Genomic DNA, 25,662 nt, shown 5'->3' with positions numbered 1-25,662 from the left:
GTTACTGAACCCCTTTGGGTCTCCGTTTGCTCACATATAAAATGGAGATGATACTTATGTGACATGCTGAATTGTGTGCCCCTCAAATTCAGATGTTGAAGTCCTATATGACCACATTAGTTTAGGATTGAGAGAAAGATCAGGTGCAGGCCCCACTTGGGTCAATCAAGCAAGGCTTCTTATTTACAGACTGGGAAGGAAGCCAGTTGATTTGGGACGCATGGCAGAGAAGCCAACACCCTTTCCCAGGACAGTGCAAGTGAGAGCTTCGGAGTAAATGAGGGTCACATTAGGTTTTCTGGAAGCCTGAATCTCTCCAAGGTGTTGTGGGCATGAAGCTTATGAAGGGCCCTCTTCAAGAAGAATAATACAAATATGAATATACAATTAGGGACAATGTGAATATTTATTTAGAATGAAAAACGAAGTCAGCAAATTACACATTTTAAAAAGCTAATAAAGCCTGGGTGCGGTGGCTCACATCTGTAATCCCAGCACTTTGGGAGGCCAAGGTGGGCAGATCACTTGAGGTCAGGAGTTCAAGACCAGCCTGGCCAACATGGTGAAACCCCATCTCTACTAAAAATACAAAAAATTAGCCAGGTGTGGTAGTGCCCGCTTGTAATCCCAGCTCCTTGGGAAGCTGACATGGGAGAATCACTTGAATCCAGGAGGTGGAGATCGCAGTGAGCCAAGATAGTGCCATTGCACTCCAGCCTGGGCCACAGAGTAAGACTCCATCTCAAAAAATAAATAAATAAAATAAAAACAAAAAGCTAATAAATACAGCAAACATTCGAGACGGAGCGCTCTGGTGCCCAGGCTGGAGTGCAGTGGCGCGATCTTGCCTCACTGCAACCTCCACCTCCCAGATTCAAGTGATTCTCCTGTCTCAGACTCCCAAGTAGCTGGGACTATAGGCACCTGCCACCACGCCTGGCTAATTTTTGTGTCTTTAGTAGAGACGGAGTTTCACCATTTTGGCCAGGCTGGTCTCAAACTCCTGACCTCAAGTGATCTGCCCGCCTCGGTCTCCCAAAGTGCTGGATTACAGGCATGAGCCACTGCGGCCAGCCAAACATTCATCTTTTAAGGGCCTTGGAAGGGATTTGTGCAAATGAGGGGCCTTGACACTTAGCTTCTGATAAATCTGCTTGCATTTACACTCATATACACATATCCATACCTACACACAAGGCTGGAACATTCAGCACATGACCCACGCCACATTATTGCCAAAGACCCCCACACCTGGGGTCACCGAGTGCATGATCATCTTAGAGTAGTATGCAGGCTCCAGTTTGCACACAATACATTAGGTCATAATGAAAACCTGATCCTGACTCTCCAACACAGCCTGGTCATACTCACTCCTGAACTCAGTGTATAGAACTGGAATAAAAGTTAGTTGCCCTTGCAGGCTCTGAGTCAGGCTGTCAAGCCCGTAGACCAGCTATGGGCCATGTCCTGCCCAGGCATTCCAGGCAGGAGGAAGAGTTTGAGCAAACTCCAAAAGGGAAGAGGTGGCCAGGCCCTTTTGAAGAACTGCTGGCAGTTCAGTGAGACTGGAATTTATTCATGTGGACAGAGGTAAGAGAAGGGCATAGGATAGTGGTTAGTCATGAAGGAATTTGTGGAGATGCCAAAGAGTTTTGATGTTATCATGGAAGCATGGGAAGTCATTGAAAGGAGCTAGACATAAAAAAGTCATATTCAGGGCCAGGCGTGGTGTCTCATGCCTATAATTTCAACATTTTGTGAGACCGAGGCAGGCAAATCATTTGAGGTCAGGAATTCGAGACCACCCTGGCCAACATGGTGAAACCCCATCTCTACTAAAAATACAAAAATTAGCTGGGCATGGTGGCACATGCCTGTAATCCCAACTACTCAGGAGGCTGAGGCACAAGAATCGCTGGAACTCGGGAGGCGGAGGTTGCAGTAAGCCGAGATCGCACCACTGCACTCCATCCTGGGTGGCAGAGTGAGACTATGTCTCAAAAAAAAAAAAAAACAAAAAAACGCATATTCAGGTTATGTTTTGGGAAGATCACTCTGAAAGTAATGTGGAAGGCCAAGTGGCTTAGTAACACAGGGAGACTATTCAGGAGGCTACTGCAGTGATCCAAGTGTATCAGGGTTCTCCAGAGAAACAGACCAATAGGATGGATGTATATATTTATAAAGAGATTTATTATAAGGAATTGGCTCACAGGATGTGGAGGTTAAGAAGTTCCAAGATCTGCAGATGGCAAGCTGGAGACCCAGGAGATTTGATGGTGTAATTCCAGTCCAAGTCCAAAGGCCTGAGAACTAGGAGAGCTGTTGGTGCAAGTTCCGGTCAGAAAGCCAGCAGGTTCAGGATCAAGGAAGAGCTGATGTTTCAGTTCAAATCCAAAAAACAGAAAACAATGGATGTCCCAGCTCACAGCAGTCAGGCAGGAGGAGTTCTCTCTATTCATGGGACGGTGAGCCTTTTTGTTCTATTCAGGCCTTCAGCTGATGGAATGAGGTTAACCCACATTAGGGAGGACACTCTCTCTGCTTTACTCAGTCTACAGATTTAAATCCTTTTTTTCGGGGTAGGGGACAGAGTCTTGCTCTGTCACCCAGGCTGGAGTACGTGATCTCAGCTCACTACCACTTTAACCTCCACCTCTTGGGTTCCAGCGATTCTCCTGTCTCAACCTTCCAAGTAGCTGGGATTACAGGTGCACGCCACCATGCCCAGCTAATTTTTGAATTTTTAGTAGAGACAGGGTTTCACCATGTTGGCCAGGCTGGTCTTGAACTCCTGACCTCAGGTGATCTGCCCGCCTTGGCCTCCCAAAGTCCTGGGATTACAGACGTGAGCCACCGTGCCTGGCCTACAGATTCAAATCTTAATCTCATTCAAAAACCCATAATAATGTTTAACCAAATATCAGGACACCTATGGCTCTGTCAAGTTGACAAATAAATGTCACATCAAGAGAGAAATGACAGGGCTTGAACAAGCACAGTAGCCACAGCTACACAATAATTATAGATTAGAAAAGTGTCAAAAAAGTTGAGGGCTGGGCGCGGTGGCTCACGCCTGTAATCCCAGCACTTTGGGAGGCCGAGGTGGGCAGATCACAAGGTCAGGAGTTTGAGACCAGCCTGGCCAACATGGTGAAACCCCGTCTCTACTAAAAATACAAAAATTAGCTGGGCGTGGTGGCCCGTGCCTGTAATCCCAGCTACTCGGGAGACTGAGGCAGGAGGATCGCTTGAAACCGGAAGGCGGAGCATGCAGTGAGCCGAGATCGCACCATTGCACTCCAGCCTGGGCAACAAGACTGAAACTCTGTCTCAAAAAAAAAAAAAGTTGAACAGGAGTTAAGAACCAATTAATTTTGAAAGATGAAGGAGAGAGAGAGTCTATGAAAACATCTGGGTTTTAGCTTGAGGAGAATAAGTGAGAGATGGTTGCTTTTACTGTGACAGTGTCAGCTGGCTGTCCCTTCATCTCACCAGTTCATAAGAACAAATGTTAGCACATTCACAGGGAAATATCAATTTTTTTTTTTCCTGAGACAGAGTCCTGTTTTGTCACCCAGGCTGGAGTACAATGGTGTGATCTTGGCTCACTGCCTCCTGGGTTCAAGCAATTTTCCTGCCTCAGTCTCCCAAGTAGCTGGGATTACAGGTGCCTGCCACCACACCTGGCTAATTATTGTATTTTTAGTAGGGACAGGGTTTCATCATGTTGGCCAGGCTGATCTCGAACTCCTGACTGACCTCGAGTGAATCTGCCCACCTCAGCCTCTCAACGTGCTGGGATTACAAGTGTAAGCCACCATGCCCAGCCAAATATCAATTTTATTAGCTCTGATTCCCCACCCAAAGATCCTTGCAAAGATGCTTCCCCAAGAGCTCCTGACATCTTAAAAAGCCTTCACCCACATTCGTGAATCCGTTGTTAATGACTGATCCCACCTTTGCGGAAGGTCCACCATGCCTGCCTTCTCATAGGTGTCAGCAGCCAAGCGTAGCTCTGCCCCAGGTGCAACAGAAGCTGCAGGCAGTGCAGGTGGTGCCACGTGGCTGCCTTCTGGGAGGTTCAGAAGAGGAATGCTTCCTCCCTGCTGGCTAGGAGGCTGTCATAGTGACTGACAGCATAATGGTGGATCTTCAGCTCCACCCTCAGAGCCCAGCGTGCAACCTGCCATCCACTGGGTTCTGAGGGTTCCTCCAAACCATCTGCCTTGCAGTACCTAGATCCCTGCCCTCCTTTGACTGCCAGACACTGTTGTTGGATGTACCTCATCTTGCCAGTCTCCTTTGTGGGGCGTTTTCTCCCAGAGGCTCCAAAGTTCTTATGATTTGTCCTCTGCCAGCTACCCCCACTCTCCCCCCTCCCCCCTTCCAGTGCACCTGATGTGCCTTTCTGTGCCTGGAATCCAGATGGGGATACTTAGAGTCCCTGTCCCCATACACCAACCATCTTCGACCCAAGTGAGTCAGTTCATGTAAACAGATACTTGAAGACCTAAGTATTGTGTAAATCTTGGTGGTGGTTTTTTTGTTGTTGTTTTTTGTTTTTTGGCGTTTTTTTGTTTTGTTTTTTTGTTTTGTTTTGTTTTTTGAGCTGGTGTTTTCTTTGCTTACTCTAGTTCTGGTGGTTTGTTTTATTTTGATTTGGATCTCAGGTGCAGACAGTTGAGTTAAGTGTAGTCCCCAGTTCATGTCACCTCTGGAGAATGTGAGGTCTGTGTAAGATCTCTCATTTCTTTATTCCTTTTCTTTTCATATTTACAGTGACCATATATTTACCCTACCAACAAGAGCACTTTTTAGAAGAAAAGGAGGCAATTTAATGATTATTATGCTGAGGCTGGGCGCAGTGGCTCATGCCTATTATCCCAGTACTTTGGGAGGCCGAGGTGGGTGGATCACCTGAGGTCAGGAGTTCGAGACCAGCCTGACCAATATGGTGAAACCCCGTCTCTACTAAAAATATAAAAATTAGCCGGTTGTGGTGGCATGCAACTGCAGTCCCAGCTACTCAGGAGGCTGAGACAGGAGAATTACTTGAACCCAGGAGGCAGAAGTTGCAATGAGTCGAGGTTGCACCACTGCACTTCAGCCTGGGTGACGAAGCGAGACTCCATCTCAAAAAAAAAAAAAAAAAGTTTCTAATGTTTATTATGCTGGGCTCATAAACTAGGCCTGCTGCTGCAAGTAGAACACACGGGCACCCATTTGTACTGTATGTCTGTTCCTGTGTCTCCTCTAAGAAGCCATTCTATATGGTTTACTTTGTGTGTGTACATTTGCTTTTGTTTTGGTTCTGGTTTTGGTTTTGTTCTTTTGAGACAGGGTCTCACTCTGTCACCCAGGCTGGAGTATAGTGGCGCGATCACGGCTCACTGCAGCCTTGACCTCCCAGGCACAATCCATTCTCCCTCCTCAATATCCTGAGTATCTGGGACCACAGGTGCGTTCCACCATGCCAGGCTATTGTTTTTATTTTTTATAGAGACTAGGTCTTGCTATGTTGCCCAGGCTAGTCTCCAACTTGTGGGCTCAAGTGACCCCACCTTGGCCTCCCAAAGTGTTGATATTATAGGCATAAACCACTATGTCCGGCTGGTTTTGCTTTTATATATTCTTATAAAATGTGTTCTCTGTTTGTTTTTTTTGTTTGTTTGTTCGTGATGGAGCCTCACTCTGTCGCCCAGGTTGGAGTGCAGTGGCATGATCTCGGCTCACTGCAACCTCTGCCTCCTGGGTTCAAGCAATTCTCCTGCCTCAGCCTCCTGAGTAGCTGGAATTATAGAAGTGCCACCACATCTGGGTGATTTTTGTATTTTTAGTAAAGTCAGGGTTTCTTTTTTCTTTTTGTTTGAGATGGAGTCTTGCTCTGTCACCCAGGCTGGAGTTCAATGGCACGATCTCGGCTCACTGCAACCTCTGCCTCCCAGGTTCAAGCAGTTCTTCTACCTCAGCCTCCCAAGTAGCTGGGATTACAGGTACCCGCCACTACGCTTGGCTATTTTTTTTTTTTTTTTTGTATTTTTAGCAGAGATGGGGTTTCACCATGTTGGCCAGCCTGGTTTCAAACTCCTGACCTCAAGTGATCTGCCTGCCTCAGTCTCCCAAAGTGCTAAGATGACAGGCGTGAGCCACCACACCTGGCCAGGGACGCGGTTTCACCATGTTGGCCAGGCTGGTCTCGAACTCCTGACCTCAGATGATCCGCCTACTTCGACCTCCCAAAGGGCTGAGATTACAGGCATGAGCCACCATGCCCGGCTTAGAATGCATTTTTGTCTTAAGGTACATGCATTTTAAATGTACATAAATATTTTGTTATGGCTCTACTGTTGTTTCTTACCTTTTCTGCTAAGCTCTGTTCATGTTCATATCTAATCTGTTGCTTCCAATGGACTCAGAGTACTCCACACTGCAGCCACCACACATACTGATGGATGCACCCACCTGGTGATGGGCACCCGGGTTGTGCAGCCTCGCCCCCCTCACAGGTAATGCCATTGTGATTCTCCTTGTCCAGGGATCCTCCAGGTCTGGAGTAAAAACTGCTTTGGGATCTCAGGAGCCGAACTGCTGGCTTGTCATTTAGATACGTAGTGCCAGACTGCTCTCCAAAATTTGCCTACCTCTTTGTGACTACTGTACAGATTTCAGCTCCAGCCCAGCTGGGACACCCAGGGCAGAGAAGGCTGGAAACAGAAGCCAAGGAGGCACCAGCACTTAGGGATTGAGCAAAAAGAGTGATTATGATGATGGAGACTAAGAAGAGAGGAGTCCTAAAGACAGGGGGAAAATGATGAAAGACTGTAGCGAGACAAGACCGTGTTAACAGGGGTGCGGAGTCAGACACGCATGAGTGGAACCCCAGCTCTGCCACCATCTAGCTATGTGACTCTGAGTTCCTTATCTACACTCAGGCTCACTTTCCTCACGAGTAAACTTGTACATCATGAGTCCCTACTTTGACAGGTTGTAACTCAGCTCTGCATCCAGAACATCATAAACACTCAGTAAATATGAGGTATTATATTCTCTAACAGCTTTTCTTGCAAGCACTGATCAGAGTTTGTGGCTATGTTGTCATTTGTATGATTATTTGATGATTATCTATATCTCTCACTAAGTTACATGCTTCCTCGGGACGGAGATCTTGTCTATTTGCTTACCATTTTACTTCTAGCTCCTAGCACAGTGCCTGGCACAGAGGATACACAGTAGATATTTACGAAATTAGTTGACCGATAAAAGGAGAATACAGGGCCGAGTGCAGTGGCTCACCTGTAATCCCAGCACTTTGGGAGGCCGAGGCCGTCAGATCACCTGAGGTCAGGAGTTCAAGACCAGCCTGACCAACATGGAGAAACCCCGTCTCTACTAAAAATACAAAATTAGCCGGGCATGGTGTCACATGCCTGTAATCCCAGCTACTCGAGAGGCTGAGGCAGGAGAATTGTTTGAACTCAGGAGGTGGAGGTTGTGGCGAGCCGAGATTGCACCATTGCACCCCAGCCTGGGCAACAAGAGCGAAACTCCATCTCGAAAAAAATAAAAATAAAAAGTAGAATACAGAGGATGATTATGGATTGTGGTAAGTGTCATAAGGGAAAAAAGCAGCATGATATGTTAGAGAATAACTGAGAGAGGGGTGGAGGTAGAAAGAACAGTCAGGGAAGACTTCTCTGAGGAGGTGACATGAGCTGGGAGAGGAAGAAAGAAAATGCATCATCCACACAGAGAGTTAAGTCCTTTCAGGCAGAAGGACATCATGTTCAAAGGTCCGAGGCAGGAAAGGGTGTGGCACATCATGGGAAGTCAAGGAGGGATCTTACTGGGAAAGTAATAAAAAGAGTAGAAGCAGGGAGAAGGGTTAAGAGGCTGTTGCAGGTGGAAAATGAGGGTGGTTTGAATTCAGTGTCAAAAAGAAGGGAAGGAGTGGATGGCTTTGGGATGCATTTTGGATATAGCAGACAGGGCATGCTGAATGATCGGGTGTAGTGGTGGAGGAAAATATATAAATCAAGGTTGAACTGGACAGTTTTGTGAGTAGTGTTGCCATTTACTGGGACAGGAAACCTTGAGTAGAAATAAAATTGGTGGTGCGGTGGGGAGCATGGGAATTAAAAGTTCACATTTTAACATACTAAGTGTGAGATGACTATGAGATCACTATAGGGAGATGTTGAATACGTGTTGGATAGATCAATCTGAGACTAAGAAGGAGATGTTCAGATTTGTTTTGAGTCATCAGCATCCGGATGGTGTTTACAGTCATGGGATGGAATTGGATAGGCTCCCAGAGTGATAAAGTGTCAATGGAGATGATAAGAAGGTCCTACACAGAGCCTGGGGCTCTCCAGCCAAGAGAGCCACAAAGGAGACTGAGGGCTCATGGAAGGCAAAAGAGAAAAAGACAGCGGTAAACTGTCAAATCCTGCTGGAAGGTCAAGGGGAGTGGAATAAGGAAAAGGGGAATTGGCGATGTGAAGCCTGCTGGTAAGGTTTTTCAATTGCTTTTAAAAATACAGCCTGGGCAACATAACAAGACCCCATTGCTACAAAAAAAAAATCTAAAATTAGCTAGGTGTGGTGGCACATGCCTGTAGTCCCAGCTACTGGGGAAGCTGAGGCAGGAGGATCACTTGAGCCAAGGAGTTTGGGGCTGCAGTGAGCCATGATTGAGCCACTGCACTCCAGCCTGGATGACAGAGTGAGACCTTGTCTCTTAAAATAAGAAATAATAATGAAAAAAAAACTTAAAAACCCAAGTTTATCAAGAGGCAATTCACATGTCACAAAATTCATCAATTTAAAGTGTACAGTAGGCCAGGCCCAACAGCTTATGCCTGTAATCCCAGTGCTTTGGAAGGCTGAGGCAAGAGGATCCCTTGAGGCCAGGAGTTCAAGACCAGCCTGGGCAATATAGTGAGACCCCAGTCTCTATAAAAAGTTTTTAAAAATTAACCAGGAATGGTGGTGAACCCTGTAGTCCCAGCTACTCAAGGAGGCTGAGGCAGGAGGATCCCTTGAGCCCAGGAGGCTGAGGCTACAGGGAGCTGTGATTGAGCCACTGCCCTCCAGCCTAGGCAACAAAACAAGACCCTTTCTCAAAAAAAAAAGTGTACAGTAACAGCAGTTTTTAGTATAATAACAGAGCTGTGCAACCATTATCCCAATCTAATTTTGCAACATTTTCATCACCCTAAAAAGAAACCTCATACTTATTAGCAGTCATTCCCCTTTCTCCTCCTCACAACTCTCCTTAATCCCAGTTCCAGGCAGCCACGAATCTACTTTCTGCCTCTGTAGATTTGCCTATTCTAGATATTTCATATAAAAGAATTATATAATATGTGGCCTTTAGTATCAGACATTTTTCACTGAGTAGAATGTTTTCAAGGATCCGTGTTGTAGCATGTATCAATATTTCATTCTTTTTATGACTAACATTTCATTGTATGGATATTGCAAATTTTATTTATTCATGCATCAGTTGTTGGAAATTTGGGTTGTTTCCACTTTTTGGCTATTATGAATAATTCTGCTATGAACATTGGCATACAAATTTATCTATGGACATATGTTTTCATTTCTCTTGGGTATATACCTAGAGTTGAATTGCTAAGTCATATGGTAGGTCTATGTTTAACATTTTAAGAAACTGCCAAATTGTTTTCCAAAGTAGCTGCACTTAGTCAGGTGCTGGAGCTCATACCACCTGTAATCCCTGCACTTTGGGAGGCCGAGGCTGGTGGATCGCCTGAGGTCAGGAGTTCAAGATAAGCCTGGCCAACATGGTGAAACCTCATCTCTACGAAAAATACAAAAATTAGCCAGGCATGATGGTGTGCGCCTGTAATCCCAGCTACTTCGGAGTCTGAGGCAAGAGAATCACTTGAACCCAGAGGCAGAGATTGCAGTGAGCCGAGATAGTGCCACTGCACTCCAGCCTGGGTGACAGAGCAAGACTCCGTCTCAAAACAAACAAACAAAAAACAATGTCACTGCACCCTTTTTATACCCCCAACAGCCATGTATAAGAGTTCCAATTTCTGTATATCCTCACCATTGCTTGTTATTGTCTGCCTTTTTTATTTGAACCATCCTCATAGATATGAAAAAAATATGTCATTGTGGCTTTGATTGGCATTTCCCTAATGACTGCTGATGTTGAACATCTTTTCATGTGCTTATCGGCCATTTGTATATAGCCACTGGTAAATTTGACAAAGACAGATTCACGGAGTGATGGGTGTTGAGGCCAGACTAAGTTAAAGAAAGAATTGAAAGTGAAGAAGTGGGAAAGGCAAATTAAAAGCTATTTCAAATTTCCCTTTGGAGCAGTTTCAAGGGAGATTTCTTTGTTTTGTGTTTTCTTAGTGATAGGAGACACTAGAATCTGTTGGTTTGTAAGGATGATGCAGTAGACATGGCTGTTCAGGAGGCTGAGGCAGGAGAATTCCTTGAGTCCAGGAGGTCGAGGCTGCAGTGAACCATGGTTGAGCCACTGCCCACCAGCCTGGGCAACAGAGTGAGATCCTCAAAAAAAAAAAAAAAATGTGGGCCAGGGATGGTGGTTCACACCTGAAAACCTAGCACTTTGGGAGGCTGAGGCAGGCGGATCACTTGATCCCAGGAGTTCGAGACCAGCCTGGGCAACATGGCGATGATGCAGAGGAAAGGGGAGATAATTGCAGGGCAGAGTCCTTGAGAAGGCAATAAGGGTGGGGCTCAGAGCACCAGAGGTGGGGGTGCCTTCAAAAGAATCCCCCTTCCGGCATTTTAGCCTGTGAGAATCTGGGTGAAGGAGCTGGTCAGCCTGTGGATTTGGTGGCGGGAAGAGGAAGAGGTTCCTTTGCAATGGCGCCTATTTTCTCTATAGGAGTAAAGGATGAGGTCATCTAACCACGAAGCAAAGTGAGACTGGTGTGGAAAGTTTGAAAAAAAGAGGGGAAATAATAAAAGAATTATTTGGAGAGTGAGAAATACTTCAAAGTGAAGTGTAGGTTTGCCAATGCATGTTTAGTGTCCACTGTGGTTTGAGGCTGTGAATTTATAGTAAATCCAGTCACCTCAGTTTGATTTTCTCCAAGAACATTCAACTACTCAGATGTGGGAGCAGAGAACGTGGCTAAATGGACTCAATCAGGTTGTGGCTTTGTGAGGTAAATACAATAGAAAGGGATCCTCCCAGCCAGAGAGTTGAGGATATGTGTAAAGCAGGCATTAGGATCAGAATCAAGGGCGGTGGTTCTCAGGGTGTGATTCCTGACAGCAGCATAATCACCCAGGCACTTGTTAAATATGTAACATGGTGTCGGGGGGCTCACCCCTGAACTACATGAGAGGACTACGGAGGAGACTGTGTCCTCAGAGGACAGACATGAGTATATTGCGGAGCTAACTGGTTATAGATTGGAAGCTCCAGAGGAGATGTGAAAGCATTTGGGGGATCTGGGAAATGGGTCAGCTTAGAAGATATAATCAGGAGTTTGGAGACAAGTGATCCATTGGACCAGTGATCTAATAGGTGGTCTAAAAGGCTTGGACTTCTGGAGCTTCCTAAAGTAAACAGGGATGTCAGGTATGATGGGATTTACCATGAAAGGCCCTACAGGAAAGTGGGCAAGAGTTCTCTCTAGGGTCCTGAATCCTTAGCTGTAGCTGGAAACTAGCATAATAACAGCACTTCTGCTGTATTCTATTTCATTTTTTGCAGAGATGGAGTCTTGCTATATTGCCCAGTCTGGTCTCAAACTCTTAGCCACATGCAATCCTCCCAAAGTGCTGGTATCACAGGCATGAGCCACCACTCTCAGCCTTCCATATTCTTTTTTTTTTTTTTTGAGATGGAGTCTTGCTCTGTCACCCAGGCTGCAGTACAGTGGCACGATCTTGGCTCACTGCAACCTCTGCCTCCCAGGTTCAAGCAAGTCTCCTGCCTCAGCCTCCTGAGTAGCTGGGATTACAGGCATGCGCCACCATGCCAGGCCATATTCTATTGATTAGAATCACAAATCCAGCCCAGATTTAAGGGACCACACAAGGCGGTGAATACAATCAGGTGTGTTTCATTGAGGGCTGTGAATGTAACACATCACCAAAATAGTTGATGCTTTTTGTGTCCAGCTAAAAAAATATTTGCCTACTATAAGATCATGAAAGTATTCTCTGTTTCTTTTAAAAACTTTGTCATTTTAATTTGTGCATTTAGATGTATCAGTCATCTAGAATTGATGTTTGTGATCGATGTGAAGTCGGATCAAGATACATTTTTTTCTCCATGTGCAGCCCAGTATGTTAAAGGGACCGTCCTTTCACTATCACTGTGCAGTGCCACCTTCACCTAAATCAAGTGTCTGTATGTTTTGAGTTTACTTCTGGATTTTCTATTTTGTTCTGTTGGTATATTTACCTGTGTTTGCATGTGATTATGTAATAAGTCTCGATAACCAATAGTGTACATCTTCCAATCTTGTTATTCTTCTTAAAAGATTTTCTTGGCTTTAAGCATTTTGATATAAATGCATTAGTTATGATACTATAATAAGATTTTTATGGATTAAATTGTGTCCTCTAGGAAAGATAGGTTAAAATCTTAATCCTCACTATCTTAGAATGTGACCTTATTTGCAAACACGTTCCTTGCAGATGTAATCAAGTTGAGATGAGGTCCTATAGAAGTAGGATGGGCCTTTATCCAATATTCTAATGGCTTTATAAGAAGAGGAGCAGGCCAGGCATAGTGGCTCACACCTATAATACCAGCACTTTGGGACGCCAAGGCGGGCGGATCATGAGGTCAGGAGATCGAGACCATCCTGGCTAACATGGTGAAACCCCATGTCTACTAAAAATACAAAAAATTAGCCAGGCATGGTGGCGCGCGCCTGTAGTCCCAGCTACTCAGGAGGCTGAGGCAGGAGAATGGTGTGAACCCGGGAGGCGGAGGTTGCAGTGAGCCAAGATTGAACCACTGCACTCCAGCCTGGGTGACAGAGTGAGACTTCGTCTCTGTCTCAGAAAAAAAAAAAAAAAAAAGAGCAGACAGAGACACAAGGAGAACACCAGGTGACAACAGGCAGACTGGAGTGACATGGCTGCAATCCAAGGAATGCCAAAGATTGACGACCACCATCAGAAGCTAGGAAGAGGCAAGGAAGAGGTCTTCTCTCCAGATTTCAGAGACAGCATGGCACTGCTGGCACCTTCATTTCTGGCCTCCAGTACTGAGAGACAGTACATTTCTATTTTTGAAAGCCACTCGGTTTGTGGGATTTTTTTTTGCAGTAGCCTTGGAAAACTAATATAAAGATGTTATAACAGGATGGGCATGGTGGCTCATGCCTGTAATCCCAGCACTTTGGGAGGCTGAGGTGGGCAGATCACTTGAGGCCAGGAGTTTGAGACCAGCCTGGCCAACATGGCGAAACCCCGTTTCTACTAAAAATACAAAAAATCAGCCGGGCCTGGTGGCTGTAGTGTGCCTGTAATCCCAGCTACTCTGGAGGCCGAGGCAAGAGAATCTCTTGAACCTGGGAGGTGGAGGTTGCAGTGAACCAAGATCTCACCACTGCACTCCAGCCTGGGTGATACAGTGAGATTCTGTATCCAAAAAAAAGTTATAAATGTTGTAACAAACTATTTAATTCCAAAAGATTCTGAAAATTTAAATCAAATTGACACACTCCTAATACAACACAACTTACTAAATTGGCACAAAAAGAAATTGAAAATTTGAGAAATCTTGTATTTTTTTATTTGTTATTTATTTATTTGAGACAGAGTTTCACTCTTGTCGCCCAGGCTGGAGTACAATGGCGCAATCTCGGCTCACTGCAACCTCCACCTCTCAGGTTCAAGCAATTCTTCTGCCTCAGCCTCCCAACTAGCTGGGACTACAGGCATGGCCTGACTAATTTTGTATTTTTAGTAGAGACAGGGCTTCACCATGTTGGTCAAGCTGGCTCGAACTCTTGAACTCAGGTGATCTAGCCGCCTTGGCCTCCCAAAGCTCTGGGATTACAGGGGTGAGCCACTGCACCTGGCCTCCAGTATCTATTAAAGAAATTGAATCTGTAATTAAAAAAATAAAAATCTCTACAAAGAAAATTAGAGACCCAAGTGACTTCACCTGTGAATTCTACCAAACATTAAAAGATGCATTTTAAGTCGTCAGTAACATGGAGAATTGTTCAAGGCTAGAGTTAGGCATTGCTATATCCCAGGCAAAAATGATGGGGACTTTCAGGAAAAATGTGGATGGTAAAGAGAGGATAAATGCAACAGATAATAGGGAGAAAAGGTAGAATCAACAGAACTTGGCTGGACTCAGTGGCTCATGCCTGTAATACCAACACTTTGGGAGGCCACAGTGGGCAGATCGCTTGATCTCAAGAATTCCAGACCAGCGCCTGGGCAAAATGGCGAAACCCTGTCTCTACAAAAATACAATAATGAGCTAGGTGTGGTGGTGCATGCCTGTAATCTCAGCTACTTTGGAGGCTGAGGTGGGAGGATCACTTGAACCCAGGAGGCAGAGGTTATGGTGAGCCAAGATCATGCCACTGCACTCCAGCCTGGGCAACAGAGTGAGACTCTGTCTCAAAACAAAACAAAACAACCAAAAACAAACCCAGAACTTGTGGATGTTCTAGACATGAGAGAAAAAAGATGGAATGACACCCAGGTATGTTGTTGGGACCCCTAAGTCGGTAGTTGTGACATTCACTGAAACAGGAAACATAGAAAGTACAGCTTGTAGGAGGGGGTTGATAGCAAATTGAAATCGCACATGCTGAGTTTGAGGGGGATCTCCAGGGGACGATGTTAGATAGAAACTAGATATGTAATTCAACAGTGCAGTCTGGGTTGGGGACACAGATTTGAGGGTTAGGAGCCCATTGGGTGGTATCTGAAGCTGTGAGAGTGGATGAGGTCTCCCCAGCTGTAAAGTTAGAAGAGAGGAGACCAAGAGCAGACCCTGAGGAACACGAAGACCTAAGGGTTATCAGTCAGAAAACTGTAGCAAGCCAGTAATTGAAAAACAAAAACATACTGCTATTCAACTAGCTTCAATGATAAGGAAAGTTATTTCACATAACAAGCGGTCTCAGTCCAGGGTGTCTGTAGGGTTAGTTTCTAGATCATGAGGTCCTGGTATTAGTGTCCCAGTGCTGCTATAATAAAGTCCCACAAACTGGATGGCTTAAACCCACAATGTATTCTCACAGTTCTGGAAGCTAGACGTCAAAATCAAGGTGTCATCAGGGCCACACTCTCTCTGAAACTGGCAGAGGAGAATCCTTCCTGGACTTTTCCACCTTCTGGCGTTACCAGGAGTCCTTGGCATTTCTTGGCTTGTGGATGCACCCCTCCAGCCTCTGCCTTTGCCATCACACGGCCCTCCTCTTCTGGAGTGTCTCTCTCCTCTTGTTACACCAGTCATGCTGCATGCAGGGCCCTCCCTGTTCGAGTAAGACAGTGTAACTAATTACATCTGCAATGGTCTTACTTATTATATCAATAAGGTCACATTCTGAGGTGCTGGAGGTGAGGATGTCAACATTCCTTTTGGGAGCACTCAATTCGGCCCATAGAAGACCCTTTCCATCTTTCTGCTCTGCCATTCTCAACATGCTGGCTTGCCTGTAGGCTGTTCCTCACTATCAAACCTGGCTACCACAGTCCCAGGCACCACGTCGGCACCACAGTGTTCATCAGATGAAGAGGGCTCATCTCTTCTTCATGTCTCTTCTAGAAGCAAAGAAATCTCTCTGAGACCTTCTCCTCCAGCAAGCTTCTCATCTCACATTTGCAAAAATTTTATCATATCCGTGCCTAATCCAATTACTGGAAAGGGGAACGAGACCACTCACTCACCATGATTGGCTTGGACCAGTGGTTCTCAAACTTGAATACGCATCAGAATGGCCTGGGGTTGGTTAAAACACAGGTTGCTGGATTCCACCCCCAGAGCTTTCAATGCAGTAGGACTCAAAAGAGACTCAAGAATTCAATTTTTTTTTTTTTTTTTTTTGGAGATAGAGTCTGGCTCTGTCGCCCAGGCTGGAGTGCAGTGGCGCAATCTCAGCTCACTACAAGCTCCACCTGCTGGGTTCACGCCGTCCTCCTGCCTCAGCCTCCCGAGTAGCTGGGACTATAGGCACCTGCCACCACGCCTGGCTAATTTTGTGTATTTTTAGTAGAGACGGGGTTTCACTGTGTTAGCCAGGATGGTCTCAATCTCCTGACCTTGTGATCCACCAGCCTCGGCCTCTCAAAGTGCTGGGATTACAGGCATGAGCCACCGCGCCCGGCCAAGAATTCAAATTTCTAACAGTTCCCAGCTGAGGTGGATGCTGTTAGTTCTGGACCACATTTTGAGAACCGGTAGTTTAGACTGACCAGGATTCATTGCAAGGACTGGGCTCAACTCTCAGGAACTCCATTGCCACTCAGAGGAAGGGGGATGCTTGGCCAAAATCAGAATTCCATCAGAAAGGAGCAAGGGAAGAAAACTGTTAGGTAGGCAACAAGTAGTGTCTGCCTCAGAACGGACAAAGGGCAGCCAAGAGGAGACTGAGAGGGAGGCGCCCAGATAGAGGAGAAGAAAGTCAGAACAAGGTGGCATCAAAGGAGCCACAGAGAAGAGATTTGGGAGAGTGTGCTCAACACTGTTAATGTCACAGAGAGGGAGCACTGAAAAGTTTCCATTGGATTGGACAACTAGGAAGTCTGTATTGATCTTAGCAAGAGCAGTTTAGTTTTGAAAACAAGACGTGAGAACAATTATACAAAACACAAAGTGATATATGCATCATTATCTGCTACTGACGATGCCAAGTGCTAGAGCTAACTCATGGATTCCTTGAATCCAGGTGATGAGATGAATAAGAGGAGGCAATGGGGTTTTTCACTGCTGAGCAGTGAAATAAGTTTTCAGAACTGGGGGTTCAAACACAGTCTGAGCTGGGGTTCAAACACAGTCTGAGCTCAGGTTCAAACACAATCATATCCTCAGTCCTGAGTTACAGACAAGATTGTAGGAAGAAGTTTATATATCCTAATCTATTTGCTGGTCCACACATAGCTGCCACATATGTTCAGATACATACACTTTATCCACCTATCCCACCTGTTCCTCTCTATGCATGCACATTAATTGTTTAGCTTAATATACATACAATTATCTGCAGAAGAATCCAGATTCTGCCACTTGCTACTGGAATACCTCTCTTGGCCTCCATTTTTCAACTGTGAAATAGAAATCATAATTGAACTTCTCAGAGTTGTTGTGAGGATTAAGTAAAATCATGTGTATAAATAAAGATGTATATGTTAGATTATTATTATAGCTACACATGCATTACTCTTCCCACATATATAATAACAACACCAGCTAATTAGCATTTGATTCCCAAGTGTTGGATGACAAGTTTAAAAGTATATTTATAGCTATTGACTTATACCCACCTACGTATGTCTATACCTAGAGGTACATACACCTTTGCTTCCAGCACTGCAAATAAACATTTACACGCCACTTCTACCTGTCTCTGTGTCTTCCTAACAACTATCTACACAAACAATATGGAGACACAGAATCTCTAACAGTGACACTCATACATACAATGTCCTCTCTTTATGTAAATGAGAGATGCTCTATTCCAGGTCCTCTGAGAATCAGATGCCAAGACGGGATTAAATGTGCAAGGATTTTATTAGGGCAAAAGCCTGTGAGGGAAATGGGGAGGGAGCCAAGGAAGGCTGTGAGAGCTGTCAGACAGCGATGCAGTGCTGACGTGAGTGAAGGAGGGAGGGAAGGAAGCTTGGGCAGGATCTTCCCAGACTGCCAGGCAGCATAAGGAAGCTTTGGCAAGGCCACTGGGGAGTCCTCCAGCCTGTCAGCCCTCAGAGGAGTCCCCTGTCTCCCAGGAATAGGCCTCCCTTAGCATCCCTGTCCTGCTCAGTCACTGGCTAGGAGCAGCATGGCCTTGGCACAAAAGCAGCCATGGGCTGCCATGGATTTCAGAGCAGTGCTAGGGTCCTTGATCCATTACACCCACTGTAGTTGGGGGTGCAGGGGAGGCCATTCTCATGGCCACCATATGAGGTGCTATTCATTCATCCATTTTTGTGTTTGATCCAAACACTCCAAATTCAGTAAAACAGAAAATCAGTTCAAACCCAGGAGTCTGTGTGGTCCTCCCTGCCACCATGGCTGTTCCAGATGGTGCCTCTGCTCAGATTGCCCCTCAGACTGGCACCTCAAGATGGCCAGAGCAGTGGCTGCCCATGAGCTTCGTTCATCCTCTGCCCAGGCATGACTCGGGGAGCTCTGAGTAAGCCTATTTCTGCCATTCCCTAGCTACCTCCAGGGAAGACTTCTCCACCCAAAGATGGGAGAAGCCAGGACACTCTCGACCTGTGTCTCCGGGGAACCAAACCTCAGATCAGGCACAGGGTGAATGGGGGGAACCCCCTCCAGGACTCTGCACCATGCCTCCCTCTCTCTGGAGTCCATGACCTCCTTCATCCCAGGGTTGTTGCTGTAGCCCTGATCAGAGGACAGGGGATCTGGGGGCTCCATGTGAATCACCTTGTGCTCCAAGGCCAAGTTCCACTGATGAAATCACAGGGAGCTGCAATGATGAAGCCCAGTACTGTACAGATGAAAGTCTTATTTATGTGAAAGATATATCTGCAGAGGGAGCAATAAACCGCAAAGCAAAGTATGAAGGTTTGCAGCAAACGCTGTAAAGTTTTATATTCCTGAAAACTAGGGATAAAAGATGTAACCATTTAAAGCAACGTGGATAAAAGGGGCTTCCACACGATTGTAAAACAGCCTTATAATAGTTAATTGCTAGTTTCTTATTACAACAGAGAGAGTCAAAATAGCCTTTAAAATACCCAGCAATGGAAATGAGAGGAGAGAGAGAAGAGGACAGGAGGGAGTAACCTACTAAAAAGAAGGTTTGGGTCCCAGTTTCCAAGGGTTCTCAGAATAGAGACCACTCTCATTCCTGTAAGACTGCCCTGTCCACAGTACTGAGGGCTCATCACTGCCTGAATCTATCCTGCATGTTCCCATCTGCTGCAAAAGTGAAAGACACTTCACCTGCCTGGGCTGCAGTCTCTTCTTCTGTACAACAAAAGGGTTCGGGATCCCCCACAGGCCCTTCCAGCTCCAATACTCAGTCATCATTATTCACTCCGTGCCTCCATATTCTAGCCACTGTGCTAGGAAGGCAGGGACATGGGGGAGGTTAAGATTCTGAGAAGAGTGGGGAAGACAAACACTTAAATAGATCACTGGGGCCGAGCGCAGTGGCTCACGCCTGTAATCCCAGCACTCTGGGAGGCCGAGGTGGGTGGATCACTTGAGGTCAGGAGTTCGAGACCAGCCTGGCCAACATGGTGAAACCCCATCTCTACTAAAAATACAAAAATTAGCCAGGCATGGTGGTGCATGCCTGTAGTCCCAGCTACTTGGGAAGCTGAGGCAGAAGAATCACTTGAACCCGCGAGGTGGAGGTTGCAGTGATCTGAGATCACACACCACTCTACTCCAGCCTGGACGACAGAATGAGATTCCGTCTCAAAAAAAAAAAAAAAAAAAAATCATTGGAACACTGTGTAGTAAGTCACAGAACAGAAGTCTGTGTGGGCATGATACATGAGCCAAAGAGGAAGACATGAAGACTCCGTGGAGGAGATGAACTCTGAGTTGGGTCTTGTAGGTTGAGTAGGAACTTACCAGAATGACATTCTAGGCAGAGAAACTAGCATGTGTAAAGCCATGTGATGAGAGCTTCCTAAGTGGTACAACTCCAGGGGCCCATTCACATCAGAGTCTATGTAAATGGTGCACCCAGGCCTGTGCAGTACACAACCTCTGCAACCTGACACAGCAATGCTGTAAAGCTGGGGCCCCAGACACAAGCGGGAGATGGTGATGCTGATCCCACATCCCAGCATACATCATAGTAGACCTTTGGCGCAGGGCTTCTTACCCCGTTTGCCACCATCTCTCTGACATCGGGCCCCTTAGAGGGGCTGCTGCTTAGATATGGCCTGGCCCTAGAGGGATTTCTGTTTCACCCTCAAACTCTGGGAACCCCCAGGGAGCTTTCAGGAAGCTCTGAAGAGACCCAAATCTATTTCCCCCTTTAGCAAAAGCAATTGCGCATTCTCTTTACTCTGCAGGGAAGTATATGGGTTTCTCCTCTACAAATGGGATTATTATTGAAAAATAGACTTTCAAGGCAATGGCTTATCTGGGGATCCCTTGTCAACTCAGCTCCATAGAGCCAACTTTCCACCCCACGGAGCATGTCCCCTTTGCCAGCAGCGCCCCTCCACCCACCCCACGTACAAGGATGCCTTCTGGGTAAGGGTGGAGGGAGTGACCAGAACCCTGTCCTTCTGACGGTGGGGGGTGGTGGGGTGACGGGGAGGGAGAGGGGATTCCCTCAGAGCCCCTCCCCGCCTGCAGGCCAGGGCTCCTGACCCTCTCAGCGGCTGCTTCCTGCTCCAGAATCAGCCCATCCTTCTTCCTGGGGGAGGGGAGGGCAGAGGCAGGGCTAGATCTCCTCCTAGCTCTGTTGAGGACATGTGGCATTTGACCTGTGACCCCACAGGAAATTCTTCTGACCTGAGGCGAACCTCAGGAGAAAAGCCATGACCCCACAGTGGACAAAGGGCCTTGCTGAGACCTCTCCCCTCCTCCCCTAGCCGGAGTTCTCTTGACTCTAGGGGGCAGGTCAGAGAATCCCTGGGAATCAGAAGCTCACAGCCCAACCAGCTGGGTCTCTGGTCTCAGCTGGGGCTCTGGTCTCAGCTGAGGAAGAAGGGGAGAACCTGAGAGGTAGCGTCACCGTATGCCCTGCGTGCCTGGGGCAGCCCCACCTGAGGGCGTCGTCTATGTGCAATTGTCAATGCACTTCTTTTTCCAGGACAGAAACTCTCCGGTTTGGATGATAACTTTTATGGTCATCCTGACAGGAAATGGACTTCAAGAGAACCTGCGCTAGCACCCACTTCATTAATTCTACAAAGATTGAGCCTCTGTCCTATGCCCAGCATACCGTGCAGGACTCGATATGGCACTGGGTAAAATCCAGTCAAGTCCTTGCCACAGGGGATCATGGTTTTGGAAGACACAGCCCCAAACCCACTAGAGCACAATGTGGAACTTCCGGGGGAAAAGGATTCGTTTTCTTTTCTTTTCTTTATTTCAGACAGGGACTTGTTCTGTTGCCCAGGCTGGAGTGCAGTGGCACGATCACAGCTTACTGCAGCCTCGACCTGCTAGGCTCAATCCATCCTCCCGCCTCAGCCTCCTGAGGGACTGGGACTAGAGGGATGAGCCTAGCTACTTTTTTATTTTTTGTAGAGACGGGGTCTCACTATGTTGCCCAGGCTGGTCTCAAACTCCTGGACTCAAGCGATCCACCCACTTCAGCCTCCCAAAGTGCTGGGATTACAGGCGTGAGCCACCGATTCATTTTCTTCAGGGGTCTCAGAGAAGATTCACTCTCAGCTGCCTCCACTCTTTTCTCCCTACTCAAACCAGCAGTGATGGTGAGAGCTGAAGAGTAGCCCAGAGAAGGGTTTTAGATATGGTCTTCCTTCTGCATGGTCCATGTCCCTGTTCCCAGCCCCAGTCCATTCATTCATTGCCATGCTCACTAAATACAAAGCGTGAGCTGTGTGTCAAGGGATGTGTGAGTGGAAAAGAGGGTGTGAAATATTTGCCTCCAAGACTTACAGGCTGGGAGCCAGATAAATGCTAAACAAATCACCCAACAATAAACACATGGATTACAGTTGTTGGGAGAGTACAGACGTAGGAGAGGGCATTGAGAGAGCACATCGTGGCTGAGGACAAAGTAGGAGGAGAAATGCTCTGCTCACCTTCAGGGGACTTTTAGGAGTGAACACCTCATGGGAATTTTAAGCCCAAAGACAAGCCCATATGGATTTGAGTTTCATTAGTAAGAACCAGAAAAACGAGCCCTTGGGGGAAAAGGGCAGGGGGGGTGGAAGGGTTGACCAAGAAGAAAGGATGGAGTGCACAGAGCTGGAGCCTGAGCCCTTGATTAGGTGTCACGCAGATGGAAAGGCAGGATTTCCTGGACCTGAAGCTCAGAAGGTCTCTAGAGGTCATCCTGTCCATCTCCTGCCTCTACAGGAGAGGCTTGGAAGGGGTGGGTGTCTCTGTTAAAGGCTTCTGAGTGAATAATTCTACACCCATTCTGTGTTTAACACCTCTTGCTTCAAGAAGTCCTTACCACCATCTGGGCTGGGAGCAGTGGCTCACGCCTGAAATCCCAGCACTTTGGGAGGCTGAGGCAGGTCAGGAGTTTGAGACCAGCCAGGCCATCATAGTGAGACCCCATCTCTACCAAAAAAAAAAAAAAATTAGCTGTGAGTGGTGGCACAAACCTGTAGTCCCAGCTACTTGGGAGGCTGAGGCACAAGAATTGCCTGAATCCAGGAGGCAGAGGTTGGAGTGAGCAGAGATCATGCCCCTGCACTCCAGCCTGGGCGACAGAGCAAGACTCTGCTCAAAAAAAGTGCTTACCACCATCTAAACCCCTCATCTTCCCAGGAAGATGAGCAGATCCTGGGAGTAGGAGGAGGTAGGGAAAAGACAGAGGTCGTCTTTGGCCTGACCATCTGTCTCCTGCCAGTCTGGTGTCCTGGAATCATTACCTCCATGACTCTGCTTTTCTATTCTCTTCTTCTAAAGTTATAAAGGGGCTGGGCACAGTGGCTCACGCCTGTAATCCCAGCGCTTTGGGAGGCCGAGGTGGGCAGATCACTTGAGGCCAGGAGTTTGAGATTAGCCAGGCCAACATGGCAAAACCCTATCTCTACTAAAAATACAAAAATGAGCCAGGTGTGGACCTGGCTGGGGGAGGACCCTTGCCCTCCCCTAGCTCCTGCTCTGGGCAGCACCTCACTCTTGCCCCTCATTTCCTAGGACCATTGAGGAGCACCTCAGAGCCAGTGTGGGATGGGCTGGATTTGGGGCTTTAGAGACATGGGCAGAAGAGAAAAGCAGAGAGTCCTCCATAGCCTGTGTATACATGGGTTTTGGGTAAACCTTCATTGCCATCGCATGGTGCATGAGATTAAATAAATATAATCCCAGTTACTCAGGAGGATGAGACAGGAGAATTGCTTGAACCCAGAGGCAGAGGTTGCAGTGAGCCAAGACTGTGCCACTGCACCCCAGCGTGGGTGACAGAGCAAGACTCTGTCTAAAAAAACAAAGTTGTAAAGGAACTCAATATTCATCACCACAAAGTTGCCATTTTACACAAATGCCTGATAAAAAGTATTATTTCCTTTACAGTATTAATTCAACGGGTCTGTGATGAACCATACCTCAACTTTGTTGTGCAGGAAGCTTCTAGATTTATACATACGAACAATAATAAAACCATAGTTGAAATTTGTCAACCATTTACTTTGTGCCAGACCCTTTACCTGTATCAGCTCCTTTATTCTTCACAGCAATCCATAAGGCAGTGCTTTTATGATGTCACCTTTACAGGTGAGGAAACAGGGAAGTAAAGCAAAGTGCCTAAGGTCTCAGGATAGTAGACAGAATGATGGGCCCCCAAAGATGCCCACTTCCCAATCCCCAGAACATGTGATTATGTTAAGGTGCAAGATGAAAGGGACTTTGTAGTGTAATTAATTTAGGAATCTTGAGATGAGGAGATTATTTTAAATTATCTAGATGGGCCCTTTATAACCACAAAGGTTTTTATAAAGGAAAGATGGAGTTAGGAGAGTCAGAGAAGGAGATGTGACAAAGCAAAGCAGAGAAGCAGAGATGAGATACACACACACACACACACACACACACACACAGAGAGAGAGAGAGAGAGAGAGAGGAGTCAAAGGTACTGAGCTCCTGGCTTTGAAGCTGAAGAAAGGGACTGCGAACTGAGGAATACAGGTGCAGGTGTCTTGCATCTGGAATCCGGGAAAGGCAAGGAAACAGATTCTCTCCTAGATTTCCCAGAAGGAACACAGCCCTGTGGATCCATGTGTTGGACTTCTGACCACCAGAACTGTATGATAACAAATTTGTGTTTCACATTGGTGACTTGTTACGGCAGCAACAGGAAACTAGTCCACACAGCTAGCAGGAGCAACAGCACCTGCCATGGGATGGGTGAGGCAATCATGTCACGAAAACCCTACCTAGAACCAACTTCCTCTCTCCAGTCCTTGCCCTGGAGCCCTTTGATGAGTGAACATCTCCCAGGGTCGCGTCCTCCCCATCTAACCACGGACCTCGTCCTCCCCCAGCTCCTGCTCCGGGCAGCACCTCACTCTTGCCCCTCATTTCCTAGGACCATTGAGGAGCACCTCAAAGCCAGTGTGAGATGAGCTGGAGTTGGGGCTTTAGAGACATGGGCAGAAGAGAAAGGCAGAGAGTCTGTAGCCTCTGTATACGTGGGTTTGGGGTAAAATGGCCTTCTTTGCCATCAGGCATCAATATCTTCATTGCAACAGCAGAAAGGGAAATAGCTGGAGCAACTAACTACACGTGTAGCTGAAGGTGAGGTCCAGGTGTGAGCACATAAGTAGGAGGCTGAGTTGCTGGGGGATCTGCATGGGCACAGGTGTGTGATGGGGTGGGGACTGGGGGCTGGCCTCTGCCAGAGCATCAGAATAGAGTAAAAGCACTCCAAAGCACTCTGGAGCACAGTCCTTAATGATGGCCCAAAGGAAAGTATTGGCCTTGAAGGAAGGGGGCTTCAAAGGCCCCTGGAGAGGGATGAGGGTTTTATTTTGAGGCTGGGGGACGGAAGGGGGCAACAAAATAGTTCCTAAAGGCCCCTCCATAGAACTTCTGGACTTTGCTGCCACCTTGTGGAAACCACTTAGAAGGCAGGGTTGTGGCCGCCCCGGCCAAAGATTGACATCTCACTGGGGTCTTTAGGATGGATACTTCTTTCCATCTGAAGTGGGACGGGGGTTGGGAGGGGGGGGTTGGAGTTCTCCCAGGCTCATGGTGGTGAATTTCCAGGCTCCCCTAGTCCCAGCTGTCATACTCATGATGTGTCTGTCTGCCAAGAGTTTAGCTCTCTTTGCAGATACAGGGACACAGCAGGTGGTGTTGCATAGGAGGAGCACAGAAAAGTTTGCCAGTATCCCATAGGCTTTCCCAGAGCAGGAACTCAAAGGTGTGGTTTTAGGGAGGAACCGTGTGCAAAGAAGCTCTGAGTGTGCAGAGGCAAAGGAGGGAAGGTGGTAATGGGAGAAAAGAGTCAGGAAAGTGTTGGACACAGAGGTCTGGATTCAGCCTGATAGGGACAGGAGCTTCATCCCCCTCTGGGCTTATGCTGAGTGACCAGTTCATCTCACTCGCTCATTTGTAAAATGGGGACATGAAGGAGAAAGGCTTCTCCTCCACAGTGCCCTATGAGCAGTTCTCACCCATTCAGAATGAGATGTGAGCCATCCGAGAAGGGCCGATACGCCTCTAGCCGTCTCCCCACCACAGCCTCATGATTTCCTGGACTTTTGCTCCATATTGGGAGCACGGTCCCCACCACACCTATGAGCCATGTACTAATATGATTCCCATTTTACAGGTGAGAAGATTGAAGTACA

At 46.9% G+C, this 25,662-nt stretch overlaps 2 long non-coding RNA genes across 2 annotated transcripts; one reads left to right on the top strand and one right to left on the bottom strand.

Annotated features, from left to right (window-relative positions):
- Positions 1-1,376: 1,376 nt before the first annotated feature.
- On the top strand, positions 1,377-23,493 carry LOC124902760 (uncharacterized). The gene is made up of 2 exons (XR_007062895.1): positions 1,377-1,590; positions 23,384-23,493. It is a non-coding gene; the product is annotated as an uncharacterized LOC124902760 (long non-coding RNA).
- On the bottom strand, positions 2,175-4,097 carry LOC124902759 (uncharacterized). The gene is made up of 2 exons (XR_007062894.1): positions 3,961-4,097; positions 2,175-2,499 (listed from the first exon to the last, which is right to left on the bottom strand). It is a non-coding gene; the product is annotated as an uncharacterized LOC124902759 (long non-coding RNA).
- Positions 23,494-25,662: the final 2,169 nt, after the last annotated feature.

The sequence above is a fragment of the Homo sapiens genome, chromosome 11 (assembly GCF_000001405.40).
Source record: "Homo sapiens chromosome 11, GRCh38.p14 Primary Assembly".
Classification (NCBI taxonomy): domain Eukaryota; kingdom Metazoa; phylum Chordata; class Mammalia; order Primates; family Hominidae; genus Homo; species Homo sapiens.
This window is presented reverse-complemented; position numbering and strand designations above follow the sequence as displayed.